This window comes from Homo sapiens, chromosome 10 (genome assembly GCF_000001405.40).
Source record: "Homo sapiens chromosome 10, GRCh38.p14 Primary Assembly".
In the NCBI taxonomy this organism is placed as follows: Eukaryota; Metazoa; Chordata; class Mammalia; order Primates; family Hominidae; genus Homo; species Homo sapiens.
Window position 1 is genome coordinate 3,067,379 of NC_000010.11, and position 19,233 is coordinate 3,086,611.

At 51.9% G+C, this 19,233-nt stretch overlaps 1 protein-coding gene across 12 annotated transcripts in view, besides 10 other annotated features; it reads left to right on the top strand.

Moving 5' to 3' along the window:
- Positions 9–408: a silencer, noted in NCBI's record as "silent region_2070". NCBI's record gives its function as "represses an Ori minimal core promoter by ATAC-STARR-seq in GM12878 lymphoblastoid cells {active_cell/tissue: GM12878}" and the evidence as "EXISTENCE:reporter gene assay evidence [ECO:0000049][PMID:35858748]".
- The window catches only part of PFKP (phosphofructokinase, platelet), a 69,258-nt gene continuing 50,194 nt past the window's right edge, over positions 170–19,233 (top strand). For 5 of the 12 annotated variants that reach the window (XM_005252466.5, NM_001410880.1, NM_002627.5 and 2 more), the window contains exons 1-2: positions 170–329; positions 15,010–15,083. In XM_005252466.5, coding sequence (XP_005252523.1) covers positions 218–329; positions 15,010–15,083 — 186 coding nt within the window. In that variant the 5' untranslated portion in view covers positions 170–217. Of the gene's footprint in view, positions 330–591; positions 643–1,248; positions 1,544–1,810; positions 2,012–15,009; positions 15,084–19,233 lie in introns of those variants that run through there. The other 7 variants (XM_047425350.1, NM_001323072.2, XM_006717449.2 and 4 more) reach the window with 5 other exon arrangements.
- Positions 829–1,008: a silencer, noted in NCBI's record as "silent region_2071". NCBI's record gives its function as "represses an Ori minimal core promoter by ATAC-STARR-seq in GM12878 lymphoblastoid cells {active_cell/tissue: GM12878}" and the evidence as "EXISTENCE:reporter gene assay evidence [ECO:0000049][PMID:35858748]".
- Positions 1,209–1,278: an enhancer, noted in NCBI's record as "active region_2905". NCBI's record gives its function as "activates an Ori minimal core promoter by ATAC-STARR-seq in GM12878 lymphoblastoid cells {active_cell/tissue: GM12878}" and the evidence as "EXISTENCE:reporter gene assay evidence [ECO:0000049][PMID:35858748]".
- Positions 1,422–1,602: a silencer, noted in NCBI's record as "fragment chr10:3110992-3111172 (GRCh37/hg19 assembly coordinates)". NCBI's record gives its function as "represses an EF-1alpha promoter that drives an FKBP-Casp9 reporter gene in an ReSE screen in HepG2 liver carcinoma cells {active_cell/tissue: HepG2}" and the evidence as "EXISTENCE:reporter gene assay evidence [ECO:0000049][PMID:32094911]".
- Positions 1,689–1,888: a silencer, noted in NCBI's record as "silent region_2072". NCBI's record gives its function as "represses an Ori minimal core promoter by ATAC-STARR-seq in GM12878 lymphoblastoid cells {active_cell/tissue: GM12878}" and the evidence as "EXISTENCE:reporter gene assay evidence [ECO:0000049][PMID:35858748]".
- Positions 6,071–6,572: an enhancer, noted in NCBI's record as "H3K4me1 hESC enhancer chr10:3115641-3116142 (GRCh37/hg19 assembly coordinates)". NCBI's record gives its function as "activates a minimal SCP1, AML or CMV promoter by ChIP-STARR-seq in primed H9 embryonic stem cells {active_cell/tissue: H9 hESC(primed)}" and the evidence as "EXISTENCE:reporter gene assay evidence [ECO:0000049][PMID:30033119]".
- Positions 8,779–9,343: an enhancer, noted in NCBI's record as "H3K4me1 hESC enhancer chr10:3118349-3118913 (GRCh37/hg19 assembly coordinates)". NCBI's record gives its function as "activates a minimal SCP1, AML or CMV promoter by ChIP-STARR-seq in naive H9 embryonic stem cells {active_cell/tissue: H9 hESC(naive)}" and the evidence as "EXISTENCE:reporter gene assay evidence [ECO:0000049][PMID:30033119]".
- Positions 9,344–9,907: an enhancer, noted in NCBI's record as "H3K4me1 hESC enhancer chr10:3118914-3119477 (GRCh37/hg19 assembly coordinates)". NCBI's record gives its function as "activates a minimal SCP1, AML or CMV promoter by ChIP-STARR-seq in naive H9 embryonic stem cells {active_cell/tissue: H9 hESC(naive)}" and the evidence as "EXISTENCE:reporter gene assay evidence [ECO:0000049][PMID:30033119]".
- Positions 10,361–11,296: an enhancer, noted in NCBI's record as "NANOG-H3K4me1 hESC enhancer chr10:3119931-3120866 (GRCh37/hg19 assembly coordinates)". NCBI's record gives its function as "activates a minimal SCP1, AML or CMV promoter by ChIP-STARR-seq in naive H9 embryonic stem cells {active_cell/tissue: H9 hESC(naive)}" and the evidence as "EXISTENCE:reporter gene assay evidence [ECO:0000049][PMID:30033119]".
- Positions 17,229–17,397: a silencer, noted in NCBI's record as "fragment chr10:3126799-3126967 (GRCh37/hg19 assembly coordinates)". NCBI's record gives its function as "represses an EF-1alpha promoter that drives an FKBP-Casp9 reporter gene in an ReSE screen in K562 erythroleukemia cells {active_cell/tissue: K562}" and the evidence as "EXISTENCE:reporter gene assay evidence [ECO:0000049][PMID:32094911]".

Below are 19,233 nucleotides of genomic sequence, written 5' to 3' on the forward strand. Positions count from 1 at the left end.
CACACCCGCCCCAGCCCCGGCCCCTGCCCCTAGCCGCGCCCGCGCCCCCTCCCCCGCAGCCCCTCCCATACGCTCGGGCCCCGCCCGTCACCGCCCATTGGCGCTGGGGCCGGGCGGGGGCGCGGGCGGGGCGGCGGTTCCGAGTCAGGCGCGCGCGGGCAGGGTCCCCATTGCCTGCTGCGCACCCGGACGTGCGGCTCCCCTCGGCCTCCTCGCCATGGACGCGGACGACTCCCGGGCCCCCAAGGGCTCCTTGCGGAAGTTCCTGGAGCACCTCTCCGGGGCCGGCAAGGCCATCGGCGTGCTGACCAGCGGCGGGGATGCTCAAGGTGCGCGCCCCCCTCCCGGCGGCGAGGGAGGGACGGACGGACGGAGCTGGGGAGAACCGGGCGAAGGCGATGGGGTGACCGGAGAGAAGAGGGGGGAAGCGATGGGGGGGACCCGGGGAAAGGTGGCGAAGCGATGGGGAGAACCGGGGAGAAGAGCGGGGAAGCGATGGGGAGAACCGGGAAGAAGCCCGCGCCCGGAAGCGGCAGGGGTACCTGCGGGGCGGCATGAGCCGGCGAGGCAGCCCCGGGGTCCTTGCCCGGTGGGGCGGGGGAGGAAGGGACATGGCGGTAGGAACCTCCATCCGGAAGATCAGTGAGTTTTCCACCTTCGGTTTTGTTTTAAATGGAACCTGGCAGAGGGAGTCGCCTGAAGCGCCCTCGGGGGTCGTTCTGCCTCTGAGCTGTAGGACGGGGCCGGGCGTCCCCTCCGAAGCGTGGGTACAGCGCGATCACTTCCTAAGTGCCCCCCCGCCCCCCAACTCCGCCGCACGCCACCCCCTAGAATGTCGAGGAAGAAACGGCTGGGTCCCCGCGCGCCTCCTGTCGCCTCGTGCCCTGCGCGGCGTGGGCGGGGTCCTGGCTGCTGCAATGCGGGACGCGGCGGGGGTGCGCGGGGTTCCCGCCTGGCGTCTCCAGGGCGGTCCGGCAGCCCCTCGCGTTTCCGCTGGGAGATTTTTAAAAAGGGTTTCCTGCGCTCGCATGTGCTGTCGCCTTCCGGCTCGTGACAAAAACGAAAACCAAAATGGGTCCCAGGCCCTCCCCGCCAGCCTCCGCAGACGGGAAGGATCAGGAAGCGGGGACTCCGGGATGTCAGCGGCGCCGCGGCGCGGGCTCCGGGCTTCCCTGCCCTGCAATGTGGAAGCTGCTCTCTAGGAGGGGCCCGAGGCTGGGCCCACGGACGCGGGCGCGCCGGGAGGATATTTAACATTGAAGAGCGGAAGGTGGCGGAGACTCGGCGCGCCCCAGGCCCCGGGTGCACGTGGGGGCGCCGGTGCCCGGATGATGGAGTGTCCCGATCCGTGCAATCCCTGGCGGGTAGATCGGCGCTTCCCAGGCGAACGCAACCTGGGAGCCTTAGCGATCGCGCAGGCTGGAGACGCGGCGCGCCCCGAGCTGGGTTTTGATTTTTGTTTTCCCGGTTCCTCCTGCCGCAGATGCGTGGAAAGGCCCGGATGGCGGATTTCCTCCCGTTTCGGGGCCGCGCACTGCACAGGGTTGGAGCGGGGATGCACCCCCTGCCCACTGCGCGGGTGACCTTCCCTTCGCCCTTGAGCGCGCGGGGCGGGCGCGGGTGCCGCAGGTTGAGGCGCTGTGGGCGCCGCCCCGCCCGCCACGAGCGCCTACGTGATGCCCGGCCCGTCGTCTCCACGAGCCCCGGCCCCGACACCCGTGCGCCGCGCGCTCCCCAGGCCCGCAGCGCAGCCTCCCCAGGCCCAGCGCCCCCCGCGGGAGACCCGGGTGGCAGCGCCAGGCCCCGCCCCGCAGCCCGCCCTGCAGCGCCCCCGGGAAGTGCTCTGGCGTTAGCATTCCAGTAAAAGGACCCCAGCATCAACGTTCTTCCTGCAGGGCTGGGTTCTCAGAGAAAGAAAACGTGATGCAGCAGAGGATGGGATTGAAGAAACAGGAGAGTGAAGTGGAAATAGCCTGGCCCGCGTGACTTAAACCGGCCCGGAGATGTGCGGGTACGAATGGAGCCGCCTTGGGGTCGGGATAGGACCCAGAGTGGCTTCTCAGTCAAAGGCCTTCAGAAGCAGAGGGAGCACCTTGAGTGACCTTACCTGGGCCGCGAAAGACAAGAAACCTTTGGCACAGGAAGAGGAACTGATCTCTGGAAGCCACCAGGGCGGGTGGAAAGTCAGGGTTTCAAGGTTATTTTGGAATTTAGGTGCTGTGGGCCTTGTACGGTGGCTCATGCTTGTCATCCCAGTGCTTTGGGAGGCCGAGGCAGGAGGCTCGCTTGAGCCGAGGAGTTCCAGAGCATCCTGGGCAACATAGTGAGACTCTGTGTCTACAAAAAAAAAGAAAGAAAAAAAATTAAGATACTGCATGTATTGGAAAATATTTATGGGTCATTCCTTTGAGCTCCATGTCCAAAAGCTTGCTAAAATGCGCGGGAGTTTGTGTACAGGCATGTGAGATTAGGATACATTGGCAGAATCGCGGTGTTCTCTGTTACCCTGGTTTTGCCACCTGGGAGGAGTTAGACATATTGAAGGTTAGTAAGTCCACGCCTCTTCTTTTCTGGGGAAAATGATACTTTGGAAACCAATATTATGTGGGGAACGCGGCTTGGTTGCTGCAACCTCGGGTTAATAGGAGACAGCTGCCCTCAGCTCTGCAGGTGGCATCAAATATGGTGGCCTCGAGCCCACATGGGTCACACCTGGGCTGTCCCTGGGGAAGCCCGCCATGGCGGGTCGCCTGGGCACTCTTTCCCTGGCAGAGCTGAAGTCACAATTTTTTTGTAGACTCTGTAAAGAGCTTTACCCTTCGGTGATACGATCTTGAACCTGTTGGAGCATTTGGACGCATTTCTTTTAAGGAAGTTCACCTCCAGATGTACTCAGAGGGCCTGGTCTTAGCTGCCACAGATTTACAAACCCTTACAGTAAGTAGGTTATTCCTCGAGAATATCTCAGTGTCCCCATTCTTTTACCATTTTATTCTGATTCTATGTTAGTACTTGATTTTCCCTGACATAGAAGACTATTGCTTGTAGCTAGAGATGAGAGAACATATTCACATTCACGTATTAATTTCAGGGGAATTTTCTGTCAGATGTGAAATTATGGTAAAATTCCGTATATTAAGATGATCATAGCTACCATTTGTTGAAAACATTTTGTATTCTAAGAGCTTTACACTTCTTATCTCCAAGCCTAAATACATGATCCCAAGAGAGGCGTGTCCTCATTTTGGAAGTGGGGAGAAAGACTCAGAAAGAAAAGTAAGTTAGGTAAGGGCATGAGGTGCATACGTGATTGTGATAGGAGCAAAACAGATCTTAATTCCAAATATTGTACTCTCCCGTAGACCACGAAGAGTACTTATGTCTGGCTGTGTCACCCAGGCCAGAGTGTAGTGGTGCCATCATAGCTCACTGCAGCCTCAAACTCCTGGGCTCAAGTGATCCTCCTGCCTCAACCTTCTGAGTAGCTGGGAAGACAGGAATGCACCATCATGACCAGCTAATTATTATTATTATTATTATTATTATTTTTGTAGAGACAGGATCTCACTATGCTGCCGAGACTGGCCTTGAACTCCTGGCCTCCTGTAGTGATCCTCCTGCCTTGGCCTCCCAAAGAGCTGGGACTACAGACATGAGCCATTGTGTCAGGCCTCCACCATCTCCACCATGTTTTTCAGGGACCTTTCTTGGTGAAGCTGCTTTATCTAGTTAATGCTCAAAAGTGAGCAAAACCCGATTTGCCCAAAATTACACAGATATTCTTTGGGTGGCTTTGTTAGGGGAACGGAAAATGCCTTTTTATAGTGATAGGAGTCCAGGTGGCAAGAACGATATTATGTGATGGGCTGCTTTTTCTTCTCTCAGTAGAGTGTATATTATTTAATTATAAGATACAATTGAAAATCTCTTTCTCTTTTCTATATTCCCGACTCCCCGGGCCTTGAATGAAGAAAGTATTTCTCAGGCTGTTTTTGTTTGTTTGTTTGTTTGTTTTTTCTACTTGCTTGGATATCTTCTGTCTCAGGCTGTTTTTTTTTTTTTTTTTTTTTTCTTTCTCTTCTTCTGCCTCTTTATGTATCTTCTGTTGTCCCAAGACATGTCTGGAAACTTAAATTGATTTTCACTCAATCTGAAATAAGCTCCATAACTCTGAATGGCGGACTTACCATGACTAAGTCCCCACTGCCACAGAACACTGTGCCACACACCAAGAGTGACTCATTGTCTTAGTCACAGGTTGTGGCTTCTGAAGGTCCTGGTGCCTGGTGGAGCTGAGTGTACTGGGAAGTCCAGGTGCATCCTTAGGGTAGGCTGCATGTGAAAGCTGCGTCCTTTTTGCCTGTGGTGAGGTGAATATCAATACAGTATTTATAGAAAGTCCACATAAATTGAGTAAGTACAAACCTTTCCAATCCTAGTGAGAATAACTAGCATTAATGACTCTTTGTTATGTGGCAGGGCCTCAGTGATCCTGGGCAATGACTTATCCCTATTTTACACATGAGCAAGGGGCGCCTGAGTTGCACCACCTTCCCTGAGTTCACAGAGCTCCGTGGTGGGGCCGGGCCCTGTGGCTGCAGCAGGGATGTTCAGGGCTGCGCGTACCTGCGTCTTCACTGGTGTCTTTCCCGCGCCCAGCACCATGCCTGGCGCTTCGCAGGAATGCAAGTGTTTGCTGCCTGCCTCCTGCCTGGAATCTCCACTGAGGAGCAGGAAACCAGGGGTTCTAGCTGTCTTCTTCGTCCATGAAGTCCTTTAGAGGAATTCAACCCTCTCTAATTAAAAGTATCCAATATCCTCAGGTCAATATGTGTAAACTGTTAAGACTTCAAGATTAGAACCTTAAAACCGAAGTCAGAAGTGTGAGGTTTCCATTGGCTGGACGTGCATTAGGTCAATGACACACATATTTATTGGACACCAGGCTTGAGCCCCACATGGGCACCTTTGGTGTCTGAAGCAATGCTGGCTTCGGAGCCCAGTAGGGTGGAAGGGGAAACTGAGAACAGCGCCATTTTGCCTCCCACGGCTCTGGGCCCGTTACCTTCCTGTGTACATACATTATTTGATGGGATCTTTTCAGTGTAAAGTGCAGTAATTAATTTTGCAAAAATTACTGGGTCTGGGAGGCAGTGTGTTGGAATGATGGTGTCACCATGTGGCACAGTGGGAGATTTGTGTAATGGCATCATTTTCTGTGAATGCAGACCGTTTTGTGTGCCATACTCGAATGACCCTTCGAAGCTAGACATTTTGTCATCTTTCGAAAGAAGCATGTTTTCCCCCTTGGTTACAGAAAGCTAAAAGCTTTTGATACAGGACTCCAACCTTTTATCAGGGAGAATTAGGCTCTTTAAATAATTAGGGCTCTACCAATCTGATGGGCCATCAGAAGCAATTAAAATTAGAAAGGTGAAGATACGGTAACGTAGTCAGGACAAACATCAGGATACCAGATTGCACGTTCACAATGGCATTTCGGCTAAGAAAGTGCGGGTGAATATAGAACAGAGGGCCGTATGTCAGTAATTGGGTTCCGTTTTGTGTTTCTTTTCCACAAGCCCTTTCTGGTGTTGTGTTTTTGTTTATTAGAGAGTAGCTGCCCAAAGGCTACAGTTTCCCTCCCCACTCCTCGGTTCTCTCCGTCTTCACCCCCAACTCCCAGTCCTGTGTTTGGAATTACAGTCATTGTGCTTGTCAGGATGTAAGAGGCAGCCAGACACATGGCAGACCAGAGCACTGAGAGGCAGAGACATTTATAGGTCCTAGCCCTGGTCCTGCTGTCTGGGTCAGCAGGGTGCTGAGTGCTGAGTGCTGAGATAGGGTCTTGATGTTTTCCTCTGCAGAATGGAGGCATCACTCAGTCTCTGTCTCCTCTCCCTGTCTCTGTCTTCCCTCCCCTCTTCCCTAACACATATCCACAGTGAAAGTGTTCAGGAGGAAAAGAGAATAGGCTGGACTGTGCTGGGACCCCCAACCCCAGGGCCCGTGTGCTATTTTCCCAGCCTCCGTGTGCCCAGAGATGCCTAGGGGAGCCTGCGGAGGTGTAGATCCTGACTGTGTGGGTCTGAGTGAGGCTCCGACTCTCACGGGGAGGGCACCGGTGCTGCTGGACCCCCTGGGGCCAGTGGAGCGGTTTGCAAATCGGGCAGATCAGCTTCTCCACTTCTCCAGGTTTCCCCAATGTGAGATGCTCCCAGGAGTCCCATGGGATTGTTTTCTGACTTTGACCAGGATTTTGACAGAGAAGATTCATTAATATAGGACCCCTTGTCTAAACGTACATATGTAAATGATCTGATCCGAAGTTTCCTGAATGGAAAATGATTGAAAGGGTGGCATGCAGTAGCCTCGGGGAGTCAGTCCTTCATATCTTTTCAGCTGTGTCTTACTACGATTAAGATTTTATTTCTGTGTGTGTGTGTGTTTTTTTTGTTTGTTTGTTTGTTTGTTTTTGAGACGGGATCTTGCCCTCTTGCCCAGCCTGGAGTGCAGTGGCTTGATGTCGGCTCACTGCAACCTCCGCCTCCTGAGTTCAAGCGATTTTCCTGTCCCAGCCTCCCAAGTAGCTGGGATTACAGGCATGCGCCACCATGCTCACCTGATCTTTTTTGTATCGTTAGTAGAGATGGGTTTCACCGTGTTGGTCAGGCTGGTCTCGAACTCCTGACCTCAAGTGATCCACCTGCCTTGGCCTCCCAAAGTGCTGGTATTACAGGCTGGAGCCACTGCACCCAGCCTTATTTCTGTGTTTCTGTAATCATTGTGCATGTTAACAGACTGCCTTGGGTGAGTCAGGACAGGATTTTGGCAAAAGAACCAGGCCCTTTCTGCCTGGAGCTGTCACTCCTGTGGTGAGGTGCGGGTACGACGTGCCTGTAGCCTGACCTGAGAGGAAAAGCTCCTGTCTTATGAAAGGGCCCAGGGGAACCTCTGGTTGGGGCCCTTTGACCTGACCTGACAGTGAGGGAGGAGTCCGTAGAGGAGAGTGGCCCAGTGGAGGACTTTGGCTTTGCCTTGGGTGAACTGGGAAGCAGGTGGAGGGAAGCAGACTGACTGTCTCCGATAAGGGTGGCTTTGTGGAGAGGAGAGGAGGGGAGGGGAGGCCACAAGTTTAGGGTATCACAAGGAGCAGGCCACAGATGGAAGGTTATGGGGTGGGGCACGTGGCAGGGCAGCCCTGTGTCCACAGACACATCCCGCCAAGGGGACCCAGAGACTTGAGTGTGTCAGGGCTTGGGGTGAATGGGCACTCAGCTGTTACAGCTGGAAGGTAGAGCATGTGAGCTCCAACAGACACAGGCAGGTGGGGGTTAAAGGAGAATCTTCATAGCAGTGCTTAGAATAGCAAAAAGTGGGAAAACCAGCAAAAAACTATCAATAGGAGATTAATTAATTCCATTATGGCACCTGGAATGTGCCGAGACCAGCTCAGTCGGGGAGACCGTAACCCAGCGGCGCTAGAGGAATTAAAGACACACACACACAAATAGAGGTGTGAAGTGGGAAATCCGTGGTCTCACAGCCTTCAGAGCCGAGAGCCCAGAACAGAGATTTACCCACGTGTTTATTAACAGCAAGCCAGTCATCAGCATTGTTTCTACAGATATCAAATTAACTAAAAGTATCCCTTATGGGAAATGAAGGGATGGGCCAAATTAAAGGAATAGGTTGGGCTAGTTAACTGCAGCAGGAGCATGTCCTTAAGGCACATATCTCATGCTACTGCTTGTGGCTTAAGAATGCCTTTAAGCAGTTTTCCACCCTGGGTGGGCCAGGTGCTCCTTGCCCTCATTCCCATAAACCCACAACCTTCCAGCCTGGGCGTTAGGGCCGTTATGAACGTGTCACAGTGCTGCAGAGATTTTGTTTATGGCCAGTTTTAGGGTCAGTTTATGGCCAGATTTGGGGGGGCCTGCTCCCAACAGAATGGAAGGAATTTTTGTCAGCGTTTAATAAGGAGCTTTGTGCTGGTCGAAAGTCAAGAGGTACACAGTATACTCAAGGGCAGTATTGAAGAGCCGATTCCAGAGCGGCTTCCCTCTGGAGCCAGTGGGGCAGTTTGCAAATCCAGGCAGATCAGCTTCTTGGAGGTTTCTCCAACGGGAGAATCTCCCAAGAGTGAGGCTTGCATGTGGGTGGCCTGTGTTATATATGCAATTTTAAATGATCTAGTTGCCGCATTAAAGAAAGGCGGGGCAGGGGGCCGGGAGTGGGGGACTCTGGGTGCCAAGACTCAACATCTGTAATCCCAGCCCTTCAGGAGCCCAAGGCAGGTGGATCACTTGAGCCCAGGAGTTTGAGGCCAGCCTGGGCAACATGGCAAGACCTAGTCTCTACAAAAAATACAAAACAATTAGTCAGGCGTGGCGGTGCACACCTACAGTCCCAGCCCCGTGGGAGATTGAGGTGGGAGGATTGCCTGAGCCCAGGAGTTGGAGGCCGCAGTGAGCTGTGACTGCACCAGTTCACTCCAGCCTGGGCAACAGAGTGAGACCCTATCGCAAAAAAAAAAAAAAAAAAAAGTAGTGAACCCGGGAAGCGGAGCTTGCAGTGAGCCGAGATCGCGCCACTGCAGTCCGCAGTCCGGCCTGGGCGACAGAGCGAGACTCCGTCTCAAAAAAAAAAAAAAAAAAAAAAAGTAAAAACCGGTAAAAGCAAAAAACTATGTTTTATATTCAATCCACTATTTTGATAACAATCAATTATTGTAGATTATTCATATTTTACACTGTTTTCCGTAGTAAGTCTTTGAAACCCAGTGTGTAAAGAAGCTTAAAGCACATCTCCATGTGGACGGGACGCACGTGGCCAGCGGCTCCTCTGAGGGACAGTGTGGTCACGCAATGGGTGGCGTGTGCTGCCTGTATTTAGAAGGTCCCCATGTGGGTGTTTTTGCGAAGGCTCTGAGGGATGTGCAGGGGAGGGCCGACACTGTCCCAGCCACGCAGAGGACCCTGGAATGCAGCATGCTGCCGCCGCGCCCCCGCCCCAGCCCCTCTGCTACCTGAGCTCTTTCCCAGATGTCCATTTGGCTAAACTCCCTCAACTTCTTCCCTTTCCTTCTTTCTCCAAACGTCACTCTCAGGCAGGTCTGCAGGCTCTCCGATTGTCAATGGCAGCCCCTCCCTGTCCTCCACACCCTCAACACCCCCCACCCCGCTTGTTATTTTTCTCCTTAGCACTTACGGCCATCCATCCATGGGCATCATGCATTTGTTCACTGTGTTTCTTGCTTTCGGGTCTCTCCTGATCGGAACAAGCTCTTCCAGGGCCAGAGGCTTCCCATCTTGTCACTGATGCATCCACACAGAGCCCAGCAGAGGTGGCACTTGGGGCACCCGAGCTGGACAGTGGGTTGGTGGTTGAGTGAAGAGCCCTACAGATTTATCTCAAGCCCTCCCCTGACCCTACTAGAAGACACGGTGGTCTGCACAGTCCAGGAGGTCAGAGAGGCCCCCCAGTTCGATGACTTTGAACTGGCAGGGGTGGGGAGGGAACAGCACCTTGACAGAATCTGCCTTTGGCATCCCACCTCCCCATGCCTACATAATCCCTACATTATCAAAGGAAAGACCCCTAGAAGGAACTTTGGCAGCAGTAGTGAGATCAGCGCGGTGTAAGCTCATTTTCTAACAAAGCAGCGGGAGGAGTCGGCAAACTGACTTTATTTCTCAAAAAGAATTTATGCATTGAAATTAACAAGTGAGTGATCAGGAGTGTGGGAAAATTCAGGAAAAGTGGCTCAGTGCTGTGAGAGAGGGCGAGGCAGGGAGCTTTATTACTCCAGACAATGGAGGAGGTAAAAGATAGACCCAGATTATTTCATTAGAGTTCATCTATTCTTTACTTTTTTTTTTTCTTTTTTTTTTTTTTTTTTTGAGATGGAATCTCACTCTGTCACCAGGCTGGAGTGTAGTGGCGCAATCTCGGCTCACTGCAACCTCCACCTCCCGGGTTCAAGCGATTCTCCTGCCTCAGCCTCCCAAGTAGCTGGGACTGCAGGCGCTCACCACCATGCCCGGCTAATTTTTTTTTTTGTATTTTTAGTAGAGATGGGGTTTCACCCTGTTAGCCAGGATGGTCTCGATCTCCTGACCTCGTGATCCGCCCACCTTGGCCTCCCAAAGTGCTGGGATTACAGGCATGAGGCATCGTGCCTGGCCTATTCCTTACTTTTTAAAAAAAAAATGCAATTTAGATTTTATCAGAGCAGAATCCCAGGAAACTGAGATTTGTAAACTGGGAAATCCAGCTCCTCCAAGTAGCCAGGAAATAAGGGTGACTTAAGTCATGCTTGCTAGGCCCTGGTGTAGGCCAAGGATGACTCTGACTCAAGGAAGAAACCGTCCTGTGACTCTCTTACCTGCATTGTGGTTTAGTAAGAAGCTGTTAAAAAGTACGGCATATGAAGAAAGCGATTTAATAATTGGTCAGAGTAATGACCAGATCTTTCCTATGAAACCGCTCCCTCATTATCTCCAACTTTATTTTTGGTTCTCATGACAAGATATTCACTTCCCTGAAAACTGGGATTTTTGCAAATTACGAAGCGGTGTTTTTCCAAATGTTAAGGTTCTTCTTTGGTAGGAAGATGTTATTTTCTCCTGGAAATCCTTGGGTTGGGCTCCCAAAACCAAAACAAAACCAGATGGATTAGCCCCAGGATGCCTGAGCTATTTGGACAATCTGTGGCTTGAGTGTTGAGTGAAAGACTCTGAAACTGCCCTTTGTCCCTTAATGGCTGTGTGCCAGGGCCCACGGACAGCCCTAAGGAAATGGTGAAACAGGTGACTTTTACCTGTGACGCCAAAAGCCCACGTTGCGGGCTGTGAAAGCCCTCATTGCAGGTGTGCACGTCTGCCTGCATTGCAGGTGTGCACGTCTTCGTCCCTGTCCTGTGGGTGACAGCCCGCCAGTAAATGCTGGTATATTTCCCCCTTGCTTTTCATCCACCAGTGTTCTTCTCCCTCCAAACCCCTCACTGAATGTTCCTGGGGCTTCCTCAGGTTTCATCTTGCAGGGCCCAGCAGGAGGCAGCTGACTTGCAGTCCTCACTGTTCAGAAGTTCAGAGGGAGGGCTTAGAACTAAACAGTCTCCACTCCCAGGCAATTAAATGAGCATCTGGCCTCAGCAGGTATTATTTTCCTTCAAGTTCCCATTGGTGACTCTGAGGCACAGGCATTGTAATAGAGGAAATTAGGAAGGCTTGAAAGTTAAAATGAAATAAGACTAGGGTTTACACTACAGCTTCACCGCTTACTAATGTTGTTACCTTCCAGTAATCAGTTTATCCCCCTAAGAGCCTCAGCTTTCTCATCCCTCCAGGGAGGTGTCAGGAGCTCTGCAGGCTTCCTGTGAGAAACATCCAGGCCAGGGCTCTGGCTGTGGGTCTGCAGTCAGCAAGGGACGTCCTACTGGGCCCCACCGAGTGCTGCCAGTCCCTGAGCTCAAGGAGGACACATGAATAAAAGCCCTTTGCAATGCATGGCTCCATCCTACCAATGCATAAATTAATAGAAGTCCTTTCAGGACCTAGAATTGTGTCTCTTTAAAAGTGTGGTGCCCCCATCACCTGGAAATTGCTAGAAATGCAAGTTCCCAGGCTCCCTCTCCACCTGTGAAACCCGGGGGCAGCCCAGCTACATGGGGGTGCTGCGGCCGCTGATGGTGAGCTCCTGCTGTGGGGTGGTGTCACTGTTCTTTCCAGGTGGGTGCAGGTGAACCCGGAGTGGGGGTGGGGAGAATCCAGCAGGGACTTCAGCGATTGAGTTTAGTGCTGGGGTGCATTTTTACTCTGCACAGGAGTCTCCTGGGGTCACCTTGTGTATCATGTCCAGCTTTTTTTTTCTGAGACAGAGTCTCGCTCTGTCGCCCAGGCTGGAGTGCAGTGGCATGATCTCAGCTCACTGCAAGCTCCACCTCCCGGGTTCACGCCATTCTCCTGCCTCAGCCTCCCGAGTAGCTGGGACTACAGGTGCCCGCCACCACGCCTGGCTAATTTTTTGTATTTTTAGTAGAGACGGGGTTTCACCATGTTAGCCAGGATGGTCTCGATCTCCTGACCTCGTGATCTGCCCACCTAGGCCTCCCAAAGCACTGGGATTACAGGCGTGAGCCACCGTGCCCAGCCTCATGTCCAGCTTTTAAGAATTTTATTCCTTCTTCTATGTCTTTCCACTTAACATTTCCTAAAATCCCCGAGTTCTTCATCATTCCTTTATGAAAGACCGGTGGGAACGAGGTCTTCAGAGAGCGGGGTGGGGGGGGGGGGAAGAGGAGCAGGGGTGAGGGGCCGCCATTGGGTCTTAGTTGTGCTCCTGCATCACCTGCTTCCTAGTGTTGGCACGGGCTGTGTTTGATGGGTAATTCATCCATTAGAGTGACCATAGCGTAAGGTCCTGGAACCAGAGCTGTGCGTCCACCCTTCGAGTTGAAGAGTCCAGGCACTGCTGAGCCCAGCCATGGGAGAGATGAGCGAGGACCTTCCACAGGTGTGAGGCCAAGGGGGCGGGAGGCTCTGTCCTGCCAGGAATAAATGGAATCAGGTGGGAGGCTCTGTCCTGCCACGAATAAATGGAATCAGGTGGGAGGCAAGCCAGGCCCTTTTCCTGGGAGGTGCCAGAGCCGAGGAGGAGTTGGAGGAGGAAGAGCGTCCGAGCAAGAGCACTGGTGGGACTGCTACCAAGGTTCAGGAACAGGAGCCTCCGAGTGCTGCCAGACAGGTGGGAGGTCCCTGGGGCATGGCCGGGAGCTCAGGGGAACTTGGGTTTTCTTCCAGTAGCCCTGGGAACCTGGAGGAACGCGGTCATATTCGTGCTTTAGAAGAGAACATTGCCGGGTGCAGTGGCTCAAGCCTGTAATCTCAGCACTTTGGGAGGCTGAGGCGGATGGATCACAAGGTCAGGAGATGGAGACCATCCTGGCTAACACGGTGAAACCCCGTCTCTACTAAAAATACAAAAAATTAGCCAGGCGTGGTGGCGGGCGCCTGTAGTCCCAGCTGCTCAGGAGGCTGAGGCAGGAGAATGGCGTGAACCTGGGAGGCGGAGCTTGCAGTGAGCCGAGATTGCACCACTGCACTCCAGCCTGGGAGACAGAGCGAGACTCCGTCTCAAAAAAAAAAAAAAAAAAAAAAAAGAGAATATTGAAACTGGTATGGAAAACATCTCGGACGTAGTGTCAAAGTGTAGAAAGAAATAACAAGTGTGAAACTCGCACAGCCCAACAGCAAGGCACCGTCCCCATACCCAGCTCTCCAACGGGGTGGGGCTCTTGTGGCTGTTACTTCATTTGTTTTTTTTCTAAACAAGAAGAATATATTCATAAATTATTTGCATAAAAGCAAATGAAAGAGAAAAAGCTGTTGTAATCCTTCTGGCCACAGTGTGGCTCATGTCAGAGGGAGTCAGGGAGTCGGGGGTAATGTTGGGAGCAGGTGTTGGTTGTATGGGCAGGAGCCAGCAAGGGTGTTAGCAGCATTCAGCGCCAGAGACAGAGAAGAAAGTTGTGCTGTTCGGCAAGAGAGAGGTTACAGCGGGAGGAGGAAATGATCAGGGTGAGATGACCTGCATTTTGAAATGCTGAGTTTGATGTTCTTGAGAGATGGCCACTAGTTAATCAGTAGGTCATTCGAATTCTTTGTGTTATAAGCTAGGTTTGAATATAAAGTAAATAAGACTATGTAATATATATATACACACATACATATACATACATGTTAGATACATAGTAAACATGCATTTACCTCTAAAATATGTATCCCCAAGGTTTTTCAGCCAAATAGATACTCTCATTCAGAATTGTCAACTTTCAGAGGCAATGGTGACTCCAGCATCGCTGACCTGGCCCAATGTAATTGAAGATTTTTCTAAGCATCTTCTGAGCCGGTCACCGTCCAAGTGCACATAGCCTGCCTCTGTCACAGATGCCCCTGCAGGACCACAGTCCTTTCATTTGTGGTTTATTGACTGGAAACATCACTGGCTTCATGGCCCACGAACTGCAGCATCTTTAGTTCTGACAGCTGTTTCTGAAACTTAACTTTGCAGAGGAGGAAGCTTGGTGCTCTCAGGTGTGTTTGGGAGCAAAGGCACTGAAGGCTCAGGTGTTCCTCATCCTTAAGCAGCAGCGCTGCATGGCTGTGGGTGCGGCCCTCGTGCCTTTTCACTCCTCTCCCGATGGGCCTGAGCTTGTTAGCCACGACAGCAAGACAGACCCTCCAGGCCCAGAGGTGGTTCCGAGACACTAGTGGCTTCAGCTCCCCCAAATCCAGCGGCAGTGGAGAGCTAGGTGGAGGCTAACAGACTTATGATACATTGTAAGCAGACTTATATGATGATACATTGTAAGCAGACTTATATGATACATTGTAAATAGACATGATACATTGTAAACAGACCTACATGATGATACATTGTAAACAGACTTATATGATGATACATTGTATAACACTGTTCTTCTCAAGGGGGGCCTCCCTTTATCTTCATGAGGTATGGTTATTTGTAATATGCTGGTTTATTTTAACTTTACTGATAATAAAATTGCATGACTTGTTTTCTGTTGAAGCCCATTGCCTTTTTTTTTTTTTTTTTTTTTTTTTTTTTTTTACAGTGGTAGTTGGTGATGTGATACTCCATTTTTCATCTCCTTCTCAAATCACACACACACAGAATTTGGCTAGCTGCAAATAAACCCCTATTCTGTACTTCGTTTTGCAGTTGAATGGAGTGGCCTACAAATTCGTACCAAGTCCAGGCAGTGATGTTTTGAACAGAAAGTAGCCTGGGCATGGGGGTACCTTGCGTTACGTTGGCTGTTTCTTTTAGTCCTTACCCTAATCCCAGAGGAGTGTGTGTACCCATTTCTCATATTAGGAAATGAGGCATTGAGAGGTTAGGAAACGGACCCATGGTCATGGGTAGTTAGTGGCAGAGCCAGAATTACCCCGGGCTCTTCAGTGACTCTTGCTCCTGTTTCCACTGCAGGTATGAACGCTGCCGTCCGTGCCGTGGTGCGCATGGGTATCTACGTGGGGGCCAAGGTGTACTTCATCTACGAGGTCAGTGTCTGCCCCTCACCCCCTGTCGCCCTTCTTCCACCTGCCCAGAGCCCTGCAGTCACCGGCGCTCGCTCACCCCTGCCTCCCCCATGCTGAGCACAGCCGAAGAGGTGGGCAGGGGAGCAAGATCCTGCCAGCCAGGGCCGTTCCTCAGCCCACAGAAGCCCCTGGTCTGCAGGGACAGATGCCTGGTCTGCAAGTTTTTTGTTAGGCAAGAGGAGAAAGGAGATGAGAGGGAGCCCAAAAAGCCATTTTCTTTTTTCTTTTTTTTCTTTTTTAGACAGTCTTGCTCTGTTGTCCAGGCTGGAGTGCAGAGGCACGATCTTGGCTCACTGCAACCTGCTGGGTTCAAGCAATTTTCTGCCTCAGTCTCATGAGTAGATGGAATTACAGGTGCCCACCACCACACCCAGCTAATTTTTTGTATTTTTAGTAGAGAAGGGGTCTCACCATGTTGGCCAGGCTGGTCTGAGTCCTGTCCTCAAGCTATCCACCCGCCTTGGCCTCCCAAAGTTTTGGTATTACAGGTGTGAGCCACTGTGCCCAGCCACAAAAGGCCATGTTGATATCAACTTCCTGGTGTTGATTTATAGGATTAGAAATCAACCAATGATCTCTAATTGGTTGTATTGGTTGGTTGGTTGTATTTGTCTGAGGCTCTTACTGCTGTAGAAGTGATTTATTAATTTCCAATGTAGGCTGAATTTGAATACACATTTAGGGAAATGAGGAAAACAGCCACTTTGAGCTTTTCATCATTCATGTAAGGTGGAAACGATGCCTAGTGTCTGCTGATGTGTTAAATAGCAGGAGTGACTCCCTGTCTGCCACTTTTGAAGTCCTGGCAACTTAAGACTAAAAAGTATTTGAAAGGAAGGCACCAATAGAGTTTGGATCACAGTATTAATTTCAGAAATTATTAGGAAAAATATTTAATGTTTAAATTTATAAAACATAGCTTTAAAAATGAGAAGAAGGTATTTTTGTAAATCACTTAATGCCTCCAAAATGGCTATTAGTGTTTTAGTCTGATTTCCTTCAGTATGACGTATGTAAAACACCGGAAAGAAACACACACATTAGGAAAAGTACAGCAAACACGTTCTGTATACTGTGTTTTTTGTTTACGATTATGTCATGACTTTTCACTACGTAGGTTTCACGACTGTTGCTTTAACTTATTTTATTTTATTTTTTTTGAGAAAAATCTCACTTTTGTCCCCCAGGCTTGAGTGCAATGGCTTGATTTTGGCTCACTGCAACCTCCGCCTCCCAGATTCAAATGATTCTCCTGCATCTGCCTCCCACATAGCTGGGATTAAGGTGCCTGCCACCATGCCCAGCTAATTTTTGTGTTTTTTAGTAGAGATGGGGTTTCACCATGTTGGCCAGGCTGGTCTCGAACTCCTGACCTCAGGTGATCTGCCTGCCTTGGCCTCCCAAAATGCTGGGATTACAGGTGTGAGCCGCCGCGCCCAGCCAACTGTTGCTTTAAATGTCAACATACTGTCTTGTTGAATTGATGTCTCATCATTTATGATGGACCCTGTATTCCACCATTCCTGTGGTATTGCACTATTTAGCTTTCTCCCCGTTTTTTAAGCTATTGTAACACTGCAAGATCTATGTTAATATTCAAAGCGATTTGATGTTTTGTATTATTTAATACCTTGGTCCTAATATCAGGCACCGACTGAGCTAAAAGGGACAGTCATCATGATGGCTTGGGATGCCTCTTGCCTAAGTAATTCCTGAAACCTGTCCAGCCTCGTCCCAGCCCCGCGCAGGGAAGGCGGTGCTCTAGCTCCCATGATGATGCTGTGTGCCGCTGTGTGCGGCGGCCTTCTGAGCACTGGCAGGTTTCCCCTGTCTGCTTTCTAAGCCATGTTTCCCTTTGGTGAAATGGTTGCTACTATTATTCTTTGCTCATTTATCTGTGTATCCATTTGTTTATCATTTGCTGGAAAGAGGTTTTTTTGTTCGTGTCATTGTTGTTTGCTTTTATTCAATTAAACTGGTTACGTGGTTATTGTTTGTATTTATGCGATTTGGGCAATTTTAACGGAGGGTCTAGCTGTAGCATTCCCAGGCTGTTGTTTTTATCATTTTATATTTGGGTGTTTTTAAGGTCAGATTGCCCTCCTGAGTTTCCCTGCCTGGACCCTGGCCCTGGTGGCAGCTGCCCCTTGCTCAGGGATGTGGAATGAGCACAGTAGACGCGGTCTCCAGCACAGTCCTCCAGCCCCTCCCCAGGAGAGTCCTCCAGCCCCTCCCCAGGAGAGTCCTCCAGCCCCTCCCCAGGAGAGTCCTCCACCCCCTCCCCAGGAGAGTCCTCCATCTCCTCCCCAGTACAGTCTTCCACCTCGTCCCAAGCACAGTCCTCCACCCCCTCCCCAGCACGGTCCCCCACTCCACTCTCCAGCACGGTCCCCCACTCCACTCTCCAGCACGGTCCCCCATTCCCTCCCCAGCACGGTCCCCCATTCCCTCCCCAGCACGGTCCCCCACTCCCTCCCCAGCACGGTCCCCCACTCCCTCCCCAGCACGGTCCCCCACTCCCTCCCCAGCACGGTCCCCCACTCCCTCCCCAGCACGGTCCCCCACTCCCTCCCCAGCACGGTCCCCCACTCCCTCCCCAGCACGGTCCGCCACTCCACTCTCCAGCACAGTCCCCCACTCCCTCCCCAGCACAGTCCCCCACTCCACTCTCCAGCACAGTCCCTCACCCGCTCACCAGCACAGTCCCTCACCCCCTCCCCAGCACAGTCCCCCACCCCCTCCCCAGCACAGTCCCCCACCCCCTCCCCAGCACAGTCCCCCACTCCACTCTCCAGCACAGTCCCCCACTCCACTCTCCAGCACAGTCCCCCACTCCACTCTCCAGCACAGTCCCCCACTCCACTCTCCAGCACAGTCCCCCACTCCACTCTCCAGCACAGTCCCCCAACCCCTCCCCAGCACAGTCCCCCAACCCCTCCCCAGCACAGTCCCCCAACCCCTCCCCAGCACAGTCCCCCAACCCCTCCCCAGCACAGTCCCCCACTCCACTCTCCAGCACAGTCCCCCACTCCCTCCCCAGCACAGTCCCCCACTCCCTCCCCAGCACAGTCCCCCACCCCTTCCCCAGCACAGTCCCCCACCCCTTCCCCAGCACAGTCCCCCACCCCTTCCCCAGCACAGTCCCCCACCCCTTCCCCAGCACAGTCCCCCACCCCTTCCCCAGCACAGTCCCCCACTCCACTCTCCAGCACAGTCCCCCACTCCACTCTCCAGCACAGTCCCCCACTCCACTCTCCAGCACAGTCCTCCACCCCCTCCTCAGCACAGTCCCCCACTCCACTCCCCAGCACAGTCCTCCGCCCCCTCCCCAGCATTGTCCTCCACCCTGCCCCCAGCGCTGGAATTTGCACACAGACTTCCAGAAGTGGCGGTCACCTGCACCTGACGAAGACCAGCTTAGTTTCCGCTGCTGCTGGAGCATATACATGTGCATACTGAATTTGTTCCCTCTGCCTTTTTTTGGGTGGGCGGGGGAGAGGGTGGGTGTGATCTGCCTTGGACTTTGGGAGACAGTACCACACCCGTCCTGAGAGCTGCTCTTAGTACAGAAATGTGGTTTTAAAAGCTGTTTGGGGATGGAGTATCCTGGGAGGAGGTTTTTCTGTTATAATTCGCAAAATGTTTTTAAATTCATGAAGACTTGTAGTTCACAGAATGTTTCCCAGGATGCCTTGTGATTTTCACGGCTGCTCCTGTTCCCGCGGCCCTGACGCTGTTGTGTGTTGAGTGGAAGTTAGTTCCCTCACAGAAGTGGCGGCCTGAACACTCACAGGGACTCTGGGTGCAGAGGAAAGGAAGGAAATCACTTCTCTTATTTCACAGATAAACTGACTTACCTTAGTTCACTTTCTCCGCGTCACCACTCAGCATGTTCAGGGCCAGGAACAGAGTTCGGTCCCCGACCCCTGGCCTCTAGCCGGGAGTAGGGAGTGATTTACCCCCTTAGGACGTTTACCAGTGTTTGGAGGCATTTTTTGATTGTGCCATTATTGAAAGGATTGCCCCTGGAATGTACTGGGGAGAGGCCAGTGATGCTACCGCACATCCTACGATGGACAGGACCACACCCCACAAAGAATGGTCCAGACCC